The 16,365-nt window shown below is 53.9% G+C and overlaps 2 pseudogenes; both read right to left on the bottom strand.

The window, feature by feature from the left end:
- Positions 1 to 10,753, bottom strand: part of LOC124903682 (rho GTPase-activating protein 23-like) — a 28,929-nt pseudogene extending 18,176 nt beyond the window's left edge.
- Positions 14,762 to 15,442, bottom strand: IGHV3OR16-6 (immunoglobulin heavy variable 3/OR16-6 (pseudogene); annotated as a pseudogene).

Raw genomic sequence — 16,365 nt, 5'->3', positions numbered from 1 at the left:
TGTTAGGGGGGACAGGGGCCAGAGGAGCTGGGGAGGCCAAGAAGGGGACAATGCAAGGCCCAGAGCTGCTGCCAGGAACCCTTGGGGGGAACAAAAGGCCCTTGCTGCCTCCAGTCTGGGAGCTACAAATGACACCAAAGCCTCGCCATGGTCTGAGAAGGAGCCGGGCTCAGCCTCAGCCCTGCTGCTCCCTCCCTGGGAGGCCCAGGGCAGGCCTCCCCTCTCTGGGCTGTTTTCCCAGCTGTGTTTGTACAATGAGGTGGAGAGCTTGTTCCATGTCCCTTGCTGCTCTGACCCTCTGTGCCTTGGTCTCCCCCTGCCGGGCCTGCTCTGGCGTGTGGCAGAGACCCACCTGGTTCTCCGTGGCTGGCTGGCAGTCCTCCAGCCTGACCCCAAATGCCCTTGGGACAGCCTTCTTATTTTTCTTGATGATGTTGATGCCCCAGGGGGTTTTGGGGGCTGCAGCACTGTCATCTGAAGTGGGGGAGACAGAGCCAGAGTGAGCTGGAGTATCCAGGAGGGTCGCACACATTCACTGCCACATTCACACATTTGGATGTATGGGGATTCCATCAGAGAAGAAACCAGATGCCCAGGGCTGATGGGACATTGTATGGCAAGAGAGAAGGCCTGAAGGGGAGGATGCTTACCCCAAAGGAGAGGCCCAGAGCAATGCAAGGACTTCTGTGTGGCTCGTGGGCCAAAACTACAAGGCGGAAGCCATAGAACTTTGTTTCTTTAGAAACAGGGTCTCTGTCACTCAGGCTGTAGTGCAGTGGTATGATCATAGCTCAATGCATCCTCAAATTCCTGGGCTCAAGCAATCTTCCCTCCCCAGCCTCCCGAGTGGCTGGGACTATAAGCTCATACCACCACACCTGGCTAATTAAAAAAAATTTTTCTGCCAGGCACAGTGGCTTATGCTTGTAATCCCAGCACTTTGGGAAGCTGAGGCTGGCAGGACCACATGAGGCCAGGAGTTCGAGACCAGCTGGCCAACATGGCAAAACCCTGTCTCTACTGAACATACAAAAATTAGCTGGGCGTGGGCCGGGTGCAGTGGCTTACGCCTGTAATCCCAGCACTATGGGAGGCCGAGGCGGGCGGATCACAAGGTCAGGAGATCGAGACCATCCTGGCTAACACGGTGAAACCCCGTCTCTGCTAAAAATACAAAAAAATTAGCCAGATGTGGTGTCGGGCACCTGTAGTCCCAGCTACTCAGGAGGCTGAGACAGGAGAACGGCGTGAACCCAGGAGGCAGAGCTTTCAGTGAGCCGAGATCACACCACTGCACTCCAGCCTGGGCAACAGAGCAAGACTCCGTCTCAAAAAAAAAAAAAAATTAGCCGGGCGGGGTGGCGCATGCCTGTAATCCCAGTTACTAAGGGGGCTGAGGCACAAGAATCGCTTTAACCCAAGAGGTGGAGGTTGCGATGAGTTGAGATCATGCCATTGCACTCCAGCCTGAGTGACAGAACAAGACTCTGTCTCTAAATAAATAAATAATATATAAAAAAATATTTTGTAGGGATAGGACTTTGCTATGTTACCCAGGCTGGTCTCAAACTCCTGGCCTCAAGCAATCCTCCAGCCTCAGCCTCCCAAAATGATGCTGGGATTATAGGTGTCAGCCACCATGCCTGCTGGCCCAAGGGAACAACTTTCTTTTATTTATTTATTTAATTTATTTTTTTTGAGACAGGGTCTTGCTCTGTCACCCAGGCTGAAGTGCAGTGGTGTGGTCTCGGCTCACTGCAACCTCCACCTCCCAGGCTCAAGTGATTCTCGTGTCTCAACCTCCCAAGTAGTTGGGATTACAGGTGCACACCACCACGCCCGGGTACTTTTATTGTATTTTTTTTTTGAGACGGAGTCTTGCTCCGTCACCCAGGCTAGAGTGCAGTGGCGCAATCTTGGCTCAATGCAAGCTCTGCCTCCCAGGTTCATGCCATTCTCCTGCCTCAGCCTCCTGAGTAGCTGGGACTACAGGTGCCTGCCACCACGCCCAGCTAATTTTTTGTGTTTTTTAGTAGAGATGGGGTTTCACCGTGTTAGCCAGGATGGTCTCGATCTCCTGACCTTGTGATCCACCCGCCTCGGCCTCCCAAAGTGCTGGGATTACTGGCGTGAGCCACCGTGCCCGGCCTTTTGTATTTTTAGTAGAGTTGGGGTTTCGCCATGTTGGTCAGGCTGGTCTTGAACTCCTGACCTCAGGTGATCTGCCTGTCTTGGCCTCCCAAAGTGCTGGGATTACAGGTGTGAGCCACCTTGCCCAGCCAGGTAAGAACTTTCTAATAGCCAAAGGTGAGGGAAATGGGAAAGGTTGCTCTTGGAAAGGGTGGGCCTCTCATCCCTGCGGAGACACCAGCAAAGATTAGAGGACCACCCAGCAGGGATGTCAGGGAGGGGAATCAGGCTCCAGGCCCTTCCACCCCAAGACCCTGAGAGCCCCCAGACCCTCACAGGCATGCACATGCAGACAGACATACCGGTAACCCTGGCACACAGTCAGGCACACACGAGCAGACACAGCCCAACACACACACACATGCTCTCCCCTCTCCATGCCCTCTTCCCCAACACACCACCCTGTCTCAGTGGCCACCTTCCTACCTTTGCTCCCTGCGGGCAGGTCCTGAGTCCTGAGGCCACGTGCCGCACTCTGCTTGAGGAACTCAGACTTGAGGCCCCCCAGGCCGCGAGAGCCTTTGGGGGAGGAATCAGCTTTGGGCCCAGAGCTATGGCTGTGTAGGAAAAAGGGGGAGAGGAGAGGTCTTCACTTGGGGTGGCCAAGCAGGCCACCCACCCTGGCCTCCTGCCCCTCGGGACATCCCCTCCACCCTGAGGCAATGCCTCCATGCCAAACTGCAGCCTGGAGACCCTGGATACCCTGGATACCCCTTTCCCCAGCAGAGGGCAGCCCTGGAGGTGGTCCAGGAAGACATCCTCTGCCTTCAGCCCCCTACCACCCCCACAGAGGAGACTGCTCCATGAGGGCTAGGCCTCACCTCACTTTGCGATAATCATTAAGCTTCTTGCTGATCAGAGCTTGGTTGGCACAGCCGGGGTCCTGAAGCAGGAGAGGAGAGAGCGGATCATGTCAGTGCCCACAGCCAGCCCACCCCTGGGTTCATCCCTAGCCCTGCTTCCCCTCTTGTCCACCTGCCAGGTGGACAGCCCAGACCCTGGAGTGAGAAAGACCAGGCCTGGACTCCCCAGCACCCTCTCACCAGCTGAGGCCTTGGGGAAGCCTCTTAGGCTCTCTGAGCCTCAGTCTCCTCGGTAATAAACATGGGGGGCTAAAAGGGAAGGCTCGGGGCTGGGTGCAGAATCATGCAGCACTCGCCACTTTCCTGGCAGATGCTGAGCAGGCATGGAGGAGGTGCCCCAGGAGGGACTGCTACTGCCATAGTGATGTGACTTGGAACCCCCCTGACTAAGCCTTGTTGGAGACAGCCAAGCCAGGCCCCCAGAGGAGGAGGCCCAAATTCCAGGTGCCTTCCTCCCTGCAGTGGGGAAAGCTGTTCCCGGGAGAGCAGAGCCTGGTCAGCGAGAGGATGTGTCCTCAGCAAGAGGCCATGCACTAGCGCCCCCTCCCACGGCCAGAGCAGGCCCAGGCCCACTGCCCTCTTGGCAGAGACCCCAGGCCCGGGATGCCCACATGACTTTGTGTGGGTGTCTCAAGGCACTTCTGTGCAGGCTCCTGGCCAAAGAAGTAAACAGGGAGGAATCCCTACCTAGGCCCCTGGAGTGTAGCTACGGCTGACCGCAATGGGCGCCATTAAAAAAAATTCTTCGGCTGGGCGCAGTGGCTCACACCTGTAATCCCAGCACTTTGGGAGGCTGAGGTGGGAGGATCATGAGGTCAGGAGATCAAGACCATCCTGGCTAACACAGTGAAACCCCGTCTCTATTAAAAAAAAATTAGCCAGGCATGGTGGCATGTGCCTATAGTCTCAGCTACTCAGGAGGCTAAGGCAGGAGAATCACTTGAACCTGGGAGGCGGAGGTTGCAGTGAGCTGAGATTGCGCCACTGCACTCCAGCCTGGGCAGCAGAGCGAGACTCTGTCTCAAAAAAAAAAAAAAATTCTCCCAAAGTCCCTGCCGAGGCCCTTGGCTCCAACCCTGCCCACCTGTGGCCAAAGGCCAAGCCTCTCAGCCTCCTCACAAGGTCAATGTGTTCATCCTCCTGCAGTCAGGCCAGCCCAGTGCAGTTCTGGTGTGGGGACACTCATGCCCTAACACACTCCATAGGAGGCCCCTGCCTTCCTCGCCTGCTGAGAAAAGCTGAGACTGGCCTGGAGCTGACCACTCCACATCAGAGCCTGCTCATGGCGATCCTAACACAGTCACAATAATCCCTGTCATCATTAGGGTCAGGATGGTGACTGCTGGTCCCCGCACCCGAGGACGCCAGGTCCTCCATGAGCCCTGCCCTTGCACCCTTGTCACACCGAAACCTAGGGGGACACAATCACGAGGTGCACTCCTGTCAGCCCCCCTTTCTAGCAGAGGGAAGTGAGGCTCAGAGCGGACATCCCAGGTCCACAGCCGGTGAGAGGCCACCCCGCCCGCCCTCTGTGGCCGCCGGGCTGGCCGGGCCCTCACCTCGCCCTCGGCCCTGCTGTTCTCCCGGATCGCTCTGATCCCCCCAGCATGTCATCCCGGTCCTCAGCCTGAAAGAGATATTCACAGAAGTCAGCGGTGGTCAGCCGGAACACGTGCCTCCTCTTGGTCTCGCTGTAGATGTCCACGAGGCAGGAGCCGACGCAGACGGGCGCCGCCTTGTCCTCACCTGCGCCGGCCCCCACAGCCCCCGCCGCCGCCGGCCCGGGCTCCCGCTGCTCCTTGCTCAGCGAGAGCGAGCGCGCCAGCAGCGCGGCATACACCCGCTTCCACTGGCGCAGGCCGCTGCCCGCTTTCTGCAGGGAGACACGGGGTTGGGGGAAACAGGAGTGGTGAGAGGTCAGTTCTGCCCACTGCTCTCACAGTAGCAGACAGCGGACAGCCGGGGGATGGACCCCACGCTGCCTACCAGGAGCCGCCTGCTCCACCCGGCTAGACCTGGGCAGCCTCCTGCCCACAGCCCACCAATGCTTTCTCAGTCCCTCGCCTGCCTAGACACCCCTACCCATCACCCTAAAGCCCGCCAGCAGACCCCAACCCTCTCCCCCTCTAAACACCAGCATCAACACTCACCGAGCGGTGGCAATGCTCAGACACCCAGCATGGCCCTCCGTACATGAAATCCTCGGGAAGCCATTCCCAGCCCACGCCCCTCCCCAGGCTGCCCCTCACCCCAGCAAACCTGCTCAGAAGCTGTCCGCACTCTTAGAGGGTCGTTCTCCCCACTTTCCTGCCGCCCACCCAAGACTCCACTTGCCCAGAAGCTCCTCTCAGGGACACCCAGAACCGCCATGTGGCCAAAGCCAATGGCTGCTTCTCCCCAACTTGCCTTAACCCCTTGGCGGCATCTGACACAGCCAGCCCCTCCTTCCCTCTCCAGACCCCATCTCGGCACCTGAGACCCCACGTTCCCGGCTTTCTTCCTAATGCCACTGGCTCCTTCCTAGTCTTCTCTACTTCCCCTCCCCCACCCTCTACACCTGTAGTTAAACAGCCAGGAGACTCGTCACCACGGGACATTTGTGTGGAGGGAGCTGGAGGGTGTGCTATGGCATCTGAGGGATGCGGCTAAACATTGCGCAATGCACAGGACAGCCTCCCCCAACAAGGAATTATCTGGCTCAAAATGTCAGCAGAGCAGAGGGTAACAGACCCCGCCCTAAAGGAGGCGGAGCTCCAGAACTTCGCCCTGACTCTCCCCTCCTCTCCTCTCCCTGCACACCTCCCTCAAGGATGTCACCTGTGCCATGCCTTTAAACCAGGTCCACCTGCTGATGGCCATTCCCGAGCCCAGCATCTCCCCCAGCCACAGCCCGGCACCCCCACCCTGCTCAGTGTCTTCATTTGCAGGTCCCATGGGCACTTTGCACAATACTTGCCAGGCCATGTGATTTCTTACCATCAAACCTCTTCTCCACTCTCTACCCCCATCTTTTCCAGCTCAGTCAATCCATCCAGTTGTCCAGAAACCTGGGAGCTGCCCTTGACTCCTCCCTTTTCCTCGCCCTTGACATCCCATCCATCAGGAAGTCACAACTGTTCTGCCTCCAAAACATCCCCTGTCTCTGTCTTTCCTGCCAGAGGAAAGACATCTTTCCATGCCATCAACGCCTCTTGCTTGGAGGATGCACAGACCTTCCCAGTCTCTACTCTTGCTCCTGCATCCATTCTCCAGCAGCAGCTGCAGCAATCATGTTAGAATGAAAAGGAGATCACATCTCTCCCATGCTCAGCATCCTCTCAAGAGATCCCATCGCCCTCAGAATCAAATCTAAAGTCTCCTGTGGTCTGTACCTGCCTTTCTCCAAATTCATCTTCACACCTTTCTCACTATGTCAAGCCAGGGGGCCCTTGCAGGTGAGCGAGCCAAGCCTTTCTTTTCTCAGGGCCTCTCTGCTTGCTGTTCCTTCTGCCTAAGCCCCCCTCCCTCACTTCTATATGTGGCTGCTTCCTTCTTCCCCTTCAGATCTGAACTCCAGCATCACCAATGTCACCTCCTCAGCGAGGCCTTCTCTGGCCATATTTTTCCCTCAATGCAGCTCCCGCTTCTGATCAGCTTGATCCTTTCCAAGAACTTACTGCAGCCTCAGGCTGTCCTGGGGACAGGGAGCTTGTCCGTCCTCTCATTTCCATATCCCAGGGCCTACAGCAGCATGCAAGCGCTCATCAATATTTGTTGAATAAATGAATTAATGATCCTTGGAGCACCCTGAGGGCAGGAGCTCCATCTCCCATCAGACCAAGAGCTCCTCTCTGCTGGCTGGTGGCTCCACATCCAGCACAGGTCTCAGCTCTCAGAACAAACCAGACAAAGAGGTCCCGTGGCTGGCAGATGGGCACAGCCCACATCTGGCCTCCCATCATGTGGATCCTGAGCTGTGAGCCCTGCTCATCACAGAACTGCTGGAGGGGGACAGGGACATTCAGAGTAGGAGACAGCAGAGCCCTCCAGGGAGAATTTTAATGTGACAGTGAGGTGGTGACAAGGGCACCTCTCTGAGGCTAAACCAGCGGCATGACCTAGGACAAGTCAACCGCACTCCCAGGCCTCAGTGTCTCCGGCTGGTAAATGAGTGAGGGAGTTGGTCACCAAGGCTGCATGCAGCTCCCATGCTGGGGCTGAGGCTGCGGGGACAAGTCACTGTCCCTTTCCCTCCTCTGCCTGACAGTCCGTGTCTCTGAAAGAGGCTGGGGCTGGGAGGGAGCACAGAGAGGGTGCCCATGGCCTGGGTGGACCAAGGGCCTGAGGCTGACTTGAAGACTCTCCTCTAACGTCCAGGCCACAGCACCAAAGGAACAAGTGACATCGGGTTTTGGCCAGCAAGGGAGTGGAGGCCTGGTCCTCCAGAACTGGCCAGTGAGCAGGAAGGGGACAGCTCCTGTCCCTGAACTGGGCTCAGGGTCCCCAGGAGCTGAGGGTCAGGCTTCCCAGCAGGGGGAGCCAGCCACCCTCACAAGGACCCTTCATGTGGCTCACACGTTAGACTGGAAGGGCTGGCTCACTTGCGGCTCTCCTCGCACAGTGCACGTGGCTGGTCCCTCCTTGCCTCATGGCTCCCACCCCACGGGTCGCTGCCAACTTGCTGGCTCTTTTTGGTCTCTGTTGGCCTCCCCGGCCCCCCCACTTCTCTCAAGGCTCAGCCAGGTCTCTTGCCTTCTTCCTTCAAGCCCCTGCACAGAGGCATATGTAACTCGTGGGTGCTGACAGACAAAGGCCGTCCCCAGGTGGGCCTCCCTCTAGTAATACGCCCTCAGAGCCTCTGTCCCCAGGACATCTCCACTGGGGTCTGTCCCAGGGCCCTCAGACTCACATAGCCCAAGTGGAGCCACTTGGCTTCCTCTCCCCAAACCTGCTCCTCCAGTGTGCCATGGCCCAGGGAGGGTCTCACCACCCACCACCCTCCCTCAGCCCAAGCCAGGAATCCAGGAACCTTATCGCCTCCTCCTCCTTCCATACCTCCCAGCAGCCTGCAAGCCCTGGCCGTCCTTCCCATGGAATCTCTCTCTAAAGTGTCCGCTCCACCCAGCCCCACACCACTGCCTTGGGTTGGGGCCCCCAGCCTCACTCACCTGGACAAGGGCAATGGGATTGGCTCCTCCTGTCACAGACATAACCCCAGTCTCCTGCCAGCCCCAGCCCACATTTAAAACCCTGGACAGAGCCGGGCACGGTGGCTCATGCCTGTAATCCAAGCGCTTTGGGAGGCCGAGGCAGGCAGATCACTTGAGGTCAGGAGTTCGAGACCAGCCTGGCCAACATAGTGAAACCCAGTCTCTACTAAAACTACAAAAATTAGCTGGGTGTGGTAGCAGGTGCCTGTAGTCCTAGCTACCCAGGAGGCTGAGGCTCCAGAATTGCTTGAACCCGGGGGGCGGAGGTTGCAGTGAGCTGAGATCGTACCACTGCACTCCAGCCTGGGCAACAGAGTGAAACTCCGTCTCAAAAATAGATAAAATAAAATAAAATAAAATAAAATAAAATAAAATAAAATAAAATAATAAAACCCTGGACAGGCTCTTTCTGGGTATGAAGGCCCCACACTCTGGGCAGGCGCCCAATTCCCCAGCTCATCTTCCACCTCTCGCCCTGGCTCCCAGCACACCTCTCCCCACCTCTCCCCAGGACCCTCTAAGGAGACATCCTCCCTGTCAGGCCCCTCCACTGTCTCCCAGTTTTGTGGCTTCTCATCCTTTCATGTCTCAGCCTCTGGATACCTCCCTACCCATGCCCACCTGCCCCTGCACCCGGGCATCACGGCAGTCTGTGCACTTGGAACCATGATGCCACATGCGTTCTCTCCGCTCAACAGGAGCAACAGGAGCCCCAGGAGGGCAGGGCTGCCCTGGCTCCCTCACCACTAACTCCCCAGAACCTCCACAGAGGCTCCCGAGCAGGGAGGCCTTAGTCATTCTCCACGGAGGCGCATCAGTCCCGCCTCGACTTCACCCTCACTTAATCCACAGCAGCCCTTGGGGTAGGATAACATTGTTCCCATCGTACAGATCAGAAAGTGAGGCTCGGGGAAGGTAAGTGGGGTGCCCAAAGCCATGTGCTTGATATGTGGCTGGATAGGAACTCGAAGTCTGTCTGCTTCAAAGCTTATGTTCTTTCCAGGGACCCTCAAGACCCCAGAAGGCAGGGCAAAAAATTCAAATAGCAGTAAGTGGGCTGGGCACAGTGGCTCACGCCTGTAATCCCAGCACTTTGGGAGGCCAAGGCAGACAGATCATTTGAGGTCAGGAGTTCGAGACCAGCCTGACCAACATGGTGAAACTCCGTCTCTACTAAAAAAATACAAAAAAAAAATTTAATTGGGTTTGGTGGTGAGTGCCTGTAGTCCCATCTACCCAGGAGGCTGAGGCTGGAGAATTGCTTGAACCCAGGAGGTAGAGGTTGTAGTGAGCCGAGATCGCGCCACTGCCCTCCAGCCTGGGCAACAGAGCGAGACTCCATCTCAAAAAAAGAAAACAAATAGCAGTAAGCAGAAGTACAGCAGCTTCAAGTGCCGGGCACTGGGTAAACCCTTTACTTAGATCATCTCATTTAATCCTTAGCAATAGGCTTATGAGCTAGGGATTACTGTTAGCTCCATTTACAGACGAGGACACTGAGTCACGGCCAGGTGAGTCACCCAGGCTCTCAGAGCAATGGGCGATGTAGTCAAGAGTCAAACCCGGGTTCATCCTAATTGCCGGGAGGGAAGGCAGTGGTCTCTCCTCCCACTTCTCCAGCCCACAGCACAGCCTGGGGCCAGGATTTGCACCCCATGGATCCAGGGGCTCTGCCCTTCTCCTCTCAGAGTCCTGCTGGTTCCCTCCCAGGCCCTCCCCAAGTACTCCCCAAAGCCCCCTTTGCCTCTCACCTGGATCTCCACGGTGGCTCTAACTGGTCTTCTTGCCTCCAGCGTGGCCCCTCCCTAACTCACTCCCAGGGAGCCAAATGAATATTTTAAAGCTGTAACTCCCTTGGCAAGAGCCCCCGAGAGCTTTTGGTTGCCCTTAGGATGAACACTAAGCCCTTTGCTGGCTTGCCTGCATCTTCTTGGGCCTTAACTCTCCTACGGAAATCACCCCAGCCTTGCTCCTTATTTTCCATGAGCCCCAGCGGCCATCTTCAGGATGGCCTGTCAAGCCAGGGCCACTGTGGGATGGTTTTGCCAGAATTCCAAGCACGACTCGATCAGATCCATCCCACAGCAAAATCCACCTCTCTTGTTAACTTCTTTTACATAAGTTCTTTAAATCCCCCTGCCAGGAAGTTCTTCCTAACATCTATCCTCCATCCTTCATGCAACAACCTACACTGGTTCTCTCTGGCTCCAGAGGCTGTCAGGGTAGGCCTAGGAGAGGCTGGAGGGTTCTGCTGGAGCCAGCTTTCACCTCATTCCTCCACCCATCTTACCTTCCCCTTCTTGGTGAGAATCTGCTTATAATACAACCAGCCTTCTCTCCTGATATTGCTGAAGGTCGCATCTGAGAGGTCAGAGGTTGAGTGTCGCTTAGAAGGAGCGTCAGCGTCTTCAGAGGTGCCCCAGCTATCCAAGGACTGCAGGGAGACAACAGAGGACAATTTAGGGTGGCTCCCACAATGCCAGCATCTCAGGAACCCCATGGACCACTTGTGGCCGCACAGTCCTGATATATGTCTGTGCTACACCCCGATGTGCCGTGCGACCTCATGGGCATTGCTTGTCCTCTCTGGACCACTTGTGTTGAGGTCATGAGACATACGTAAAGGAGAAGCCAGAAAGGAGGAAAGGCTATGACCTGTCAGCAGACCACACGCCTCACCATGCTAGAGGAGCCAATTCGGAGCCTCCTGTAACTTTATAGACTTAGAAGAATTAAGGAAATGGAGGAAGTGATCGTGTCAACGAGGAGTTAAATAAACAGGGGAAGTGGGAACATCAACAAAGGCTGAGTGAGTGGAGCAGGTAGTCATGTCCACGAGGCGTTAAACAGAGGAAGTGACAGTGTCAACAGGACTCCAGCCAGAGGGCGCAAGTCAAGGGAGAGTTAAGTAAGCAGAAGAAGTGATAAGAAATAAGCTAGGTGCCAATATCACCGGGGTGTTCAACCAACCAATGAGACAGAGCGCTTGACATCAAGATGGCTTTTCCAGTCCATCTAGAATCAAAAACAGCCAGGGAAAGATGGGGCGGGCACGGTGGCTCATGCCTGTAATCCCAGCACTTTGGGAGGCTGAGACAGGCAGATCACTTGAGGTCAGGAGTTCAAGATCAGCCTGGCCAACATGGTGAAACCCCATCTCTACTAAAAACACAAAAATTAGTCAGGTGTGGTGGCGCATGCCTATAATCCCAGCTACTCGGGAGGCTGAGGCACGAGAATTGGTTGAACCCAGGAGATGGAGGTTGCAGTGAGCTGAGATCGTGCCACTGCACTCCAGCCTGGGCAATAGAGTGAGACTCCATCTCAAAAAAAAAAGAAAAATCGTGCATGAAAAATATATATGTGATTTTAAAAACAACAATATGTCCAGGTGTGGTGGCTTATGCCTGTAATCCCAGTATTTTGGGGGGCCGAAGCAAGAAGATCACTTGAGGCCAGGTGCGGTGGCTCAGGCCTGTAATCCCAGCACTTTGGGAGGCCGAGGTGGGTGGATCACCTGAGGTCAGGAGTTCAAGACCAGTCTGGCCAACATGGTGAAACCCAGTCTCTATTAAAAATACAAAAATTACCCAGGTGTGGTGGCACACGCCTGTAATCCCAGCTGCTCGGGAGGCTGAGGCAGGACAATAGCTTGAACCCAGGAGGTGGATGTTGCAGTGAGCCAAGATCATGCCACTGCACTCCAGACTGGGCAATAGAGTGAGACTCTGTCTCAAAACAAACAAACAGCCAGGGCTATCACAGGCCTGATCCTGCCTCCCCAGGTCCTGAGGCTGGGAACTCCACCTGTCCACCAATCTCAACCCTGTGTCCAGGCCACACCTTTCCAGTGTCCACCCCGACCCCATCCCATGAAGACAAGACGCGATGCAAATACTGACTCAGGGTAGTGAAGGAAACAAATGAAGCACCAAATATAAGCTCGGGGAGCTTCTATTCTAGCTGGGGAGCCAGGCAGGGAGGAAGGGAAACACCAATTGTGCATGAGGCGTGCTGAGGAGGAAAACAGAGTAGCGAAGGGAGGCATGAAATGTCAGGAGTGGAGACTGGAATTTCAGGGAAGACCTAAAAAGCTGCAAAGACAGTGGAGAAGTGAGTCGTGTGGCTATGGGGGATGGGTCTGGAAAGAGGCAGTCCAGACGGGGGCCCCTGGGTGGGGCTGCATGGTGTCATTCAGGGAAGTCGGGGCCCACAGCAGAGGGCCGGTCCCGCGGTGGACACAAGGGTGAGGGGTGCAGGGAGGAGGGGGAAGGCAGGAGCTGGAGCAGGAACCCCCATGCCGAGGCTGTGGCCCCACCTCCCTGACACCCTCTCTCCCCACACCCTCACTCCTGCGCACACACACAGACCTGCAACTCACCCCGTCTGTGAAGAAGCTCCGGAGCAACGGCAGGCTGGGTATGCGGTTTGGCAGGTGCCTGGGAAGCAAGGGTGGAGGGTGAGGGATGTGGGCAGCAAAGCTGGGACCTCACTATCTCGTCACCCACCAAACCCCAAGCCCAGAAGCCTTCCAGCGGGGGAGACACACTGTCCCATGCATAGAGGACCCCCAGGGCCAAAAGCCCTGCCCCAGAGCAGCTGGCCAGGGTGGCTGTGGCCACCCCACCCCATGTCCAGACAGGGCCTCACCGCAGAACCTGGCCCTCATCGCGGAAGGTGTTGAGTCCATCATCGCAGGACTTGGAGCGCTCCGTGGTGATGGCCAGCAGGTAGGAGGAGCGGCGGCCAGCCTTGATGCTGCCTGCAAAGCCGCCCGCATCGGGCCTCAGGGTCAGCGGGGCAGCAGGTCAGGGGCTTCCCAGAGCCCTCCCTTCTAGGCAGGGGCCGGAGGTGACTCTCCCAAGGTGCCCCAGGAGAAGCGGAAACCAGAGGAAGAGGCCAGACATCAAGCAGCAGACCCAACAGAGACCCCTGGGAGTGGGCAGTGAGGGAAAGGGTGGGGCTGGGGGTGTGGGGAGAGCTCACTGCAGTCCCGCGAGTAATGCCGTCCGAGGGTGAAGGTGAAGGTCGGGGAAGATGGGCTGGTGCCCAGGACAGCGGCTGAGTTCATGGCACTGGAGACCACAGCAAAGGCAGGGACATGCTTGGCTTGGAGGTCAGTGCTGGGGCTGGTGGGCTCATCTATGCATGTGGAAGGAGAAAGGTGTGAAGGCGGCAGACAGCAGAACCTGCTTGCCTCCACCCTAGCCTTGCCAGCCCCCGTGCCACTCACCTCCAGGCTCAGACACATCCCAAAGGGTCCTGCTGGCAACATGCCCACTGTCAAGCGTGACTGGCCCACTGTCCAGACTGTGGCCATGGAATCCTTACCCTCAGGAGTGGGGCTGAGACACCCTCCTTAGACCGGACTCCTGAGGACAGAGCCAATATTCCCCCATCAGACTGGGAGCCTCCTGAGGGCAGGGACGGTGTCTCCCCCATCAGACTGAGGGCACTCAGAGAGAATGAATTATGTCTCCCCTCTCAGACCAAGAGCCTCCTGAGGGCAGGGACAGCGTCTTCCCCATCAGACTGAGAGCTTCCTAAGGGCAAAAGCTCCCCCATCAGCTGGGGCTCCTCAAGGGCAGAGATGACATCTCCCCCTCAAACAGGGTGTGCTCTGGAAGAAGAGACTGCCTCTCCTGGCCACAGCCTAGAGCCTTTCATCAGGGGTCAGTGGTGTGGATGGGGCCCTTGAGACAATCCAGTGAGATCTGGAAGTGAAGAAAAAGATTATAATCTGGGATAAATATAAAAAGTTACAATAAAAATTTTATTGCAAATTTACAAATTATGGTTGTTTATATGTACATGGTAAAGGGCAATGTTATGATTTGTGAATACAATATGAAATAACTAAGATAATTAAGAAATAACTGATATAATTATCATTCATTGTTTCAAATTTTTATCTTTTATTGTGACAACATTTAACATTTACTCTTAGCTCTTTAAAATGACCAATGTACTATTTTAAATGAACCATAGAAACCAATTTATGTAAACAATTGAAAATCTGGGAAATCAATTATGAATTACTGTAATAATTTAATAATTAAAAGTTAATAATGTAGTTAATTAAGTTTGATTTTTTTCAAACTTTTTTTATCATTTCATTGTAATGTTTAATACAAATGCCTACATATATATGCATTGGTCTGTGTATTTATACATCTTTCTATGGGTATAAATTTTTGTCCCTATAGCTATGTAGTTGCTGATGTCAACAAATGTTAATAAAACTCTGGAAGAATCAGTGCAAACAATTAGGAATGTTTATTTCTTGAAAGTATATACTTAAAAATATAATAATATGTAGAATGTTAATAATTACTAAAATTTAAACATTAATGATAAAATTCATAATAAATATAAGTAACAAAATATCACAGCCTAGAAGACTCCAGAGTCCTGCGAAGATAAACGTGACTTTTCCAGCTGAGGAGAAAGGAAACCTCTCCCGGCACCAGCTCCTGGGACCTGTCCCGTCCTCAGTGGGTCCCGAGCGCCCCCTGGTTGCCCCGCGCGCCCCTGCAGGGAGGTTTGTGTCTGGGCTCACACTGACCTCCCCTCACTGTGCCTGTGGTACAGTAATACACGGCCGTGTCCTCGGTTTTCAGGCTGATCATTTGCAGATACAGCGTGTTTTTTGAATCATCTCTTGAGATGGTGAATCTGCCTTTCACAGGTGCAGCGTAGTCTGTTGTCCCACCATTAGCTTTGCTTTTAATACAGCCAACCCACTCCAGCCCCTTCCCTGGAGCCTGGCGGACCCAGCTCATCCAGGCGTTACTGCAAGTGAATCCAGAGGCTGCACAGGAGAGTCTAAGGGACCCCCCAGGCTGTACCAAGGCCTCCCGCAGACTCCACCAGCTGCACCTCACACTGGACACCTGCAAACACAGAGACACTAAGGTCAGAAACTGCCACACATATCCACTGTTTCTCTCACTCATGTCCACTCACACTCAATCTCTCTAGCTCTCCATAAATCACCTTTTAAAATAGCAGCAAGGAAAACCCAACTCAGCACAAACTCCATGGTGATTCCGGTGTGTTCAGTCCTGATCACTGAATGAAAATACTTGGGAATCCCAAGGCTGGGGCTCCTCTCCCAGAGCTGCAGGGTCAGGACTGGGCTGGTTTTCATCAGGAGAGGGAGGGCCCTATTTGCATGTCACCTACTATATAGCAAGCTCTGGGGTGGGACGCCTGAGCAGAGGGCAGTGCCCAGATAAGGTAATGATGCCCTGCAAGAATCTGATGACAATGATGGTGTTTGGAAAACTTGCTGTCTTATTAGGAAATTGTGCTGTGATAAACACTTTGCACTAATCACTCTCTTACATTTTTACATATTTGTGTAAATCATATTTTTAGGGGTCAATGGTTTCTCCATTTACAGATGGCGAAGTAAACCCATACGTGGAGGGGCTTTGTATGTATCTAAGAGCTCATACCTGAGGTTAGTGAGCCCCAGTATCTGGGCCTGTGCTCCTCATCCACTGGCCCTATATTACTCCCTAACCCAACTCCAGGACAGAGCTGGGCATGCCTAGTGTGGTTTGTGAAACCCACTTTCTGTATTGAGAACATGTGTAATTTTGCTGCATTCTAGCATTCACCTAAAAATATGGTGAGAACTAGGGTTCACGAAGATAAATTATTAGGTGTTTCTGAAATTTAGTATTTTTTCTATCTTTATATCACTTACTTCTTGTGCAAGTTTTCATTTGTTTGCTGGTAATAAATTTTATAAATTTCAGTTTACTGATAATAAACTTCACATATTTAAAGTGTACAATTGATAAACCTGATGTAACCATCCTAGTTATCAAGGTGAACCAGAAAATTCTCAAAATTTCCCTCTCATTCTTCCATATTCCTCCTCCTTTCCTCTTCCCTTCTTCTACTATTTCCCCAAATGGTAAATTCTGATCTTCTTTATATTGCTGTAGATTCAATTTAATTTATCAGAATTTATTAAAATGGAATAACATAGTACATATTCCTGTTTGCTTTATTTTCCTGAACATCAATACTTAGATATTTTACCTTGTTGTTATATTGCTTAAGTTCAGTTTTTATTTTCCAGAATTTATATAAATGAAATTATATGGTAA

The sequence above is a fragment of the Homo sapiens genome, chromosome 16 (assembly GCF_000001405.40).
Source record: "Homo sapiens chromosome 16, GRCh38.p14 Primary Assembly".
Classification (NCBI taxonomy): domain Eukaryota; kingdom Metazoa; phylum Chordata; class Mammalia; order Primates; family Hominidae; genus Homo; species Homo sapiens.
This window is presented reverse-complemented; position numbering and strand designations above follow the sequence as displayed.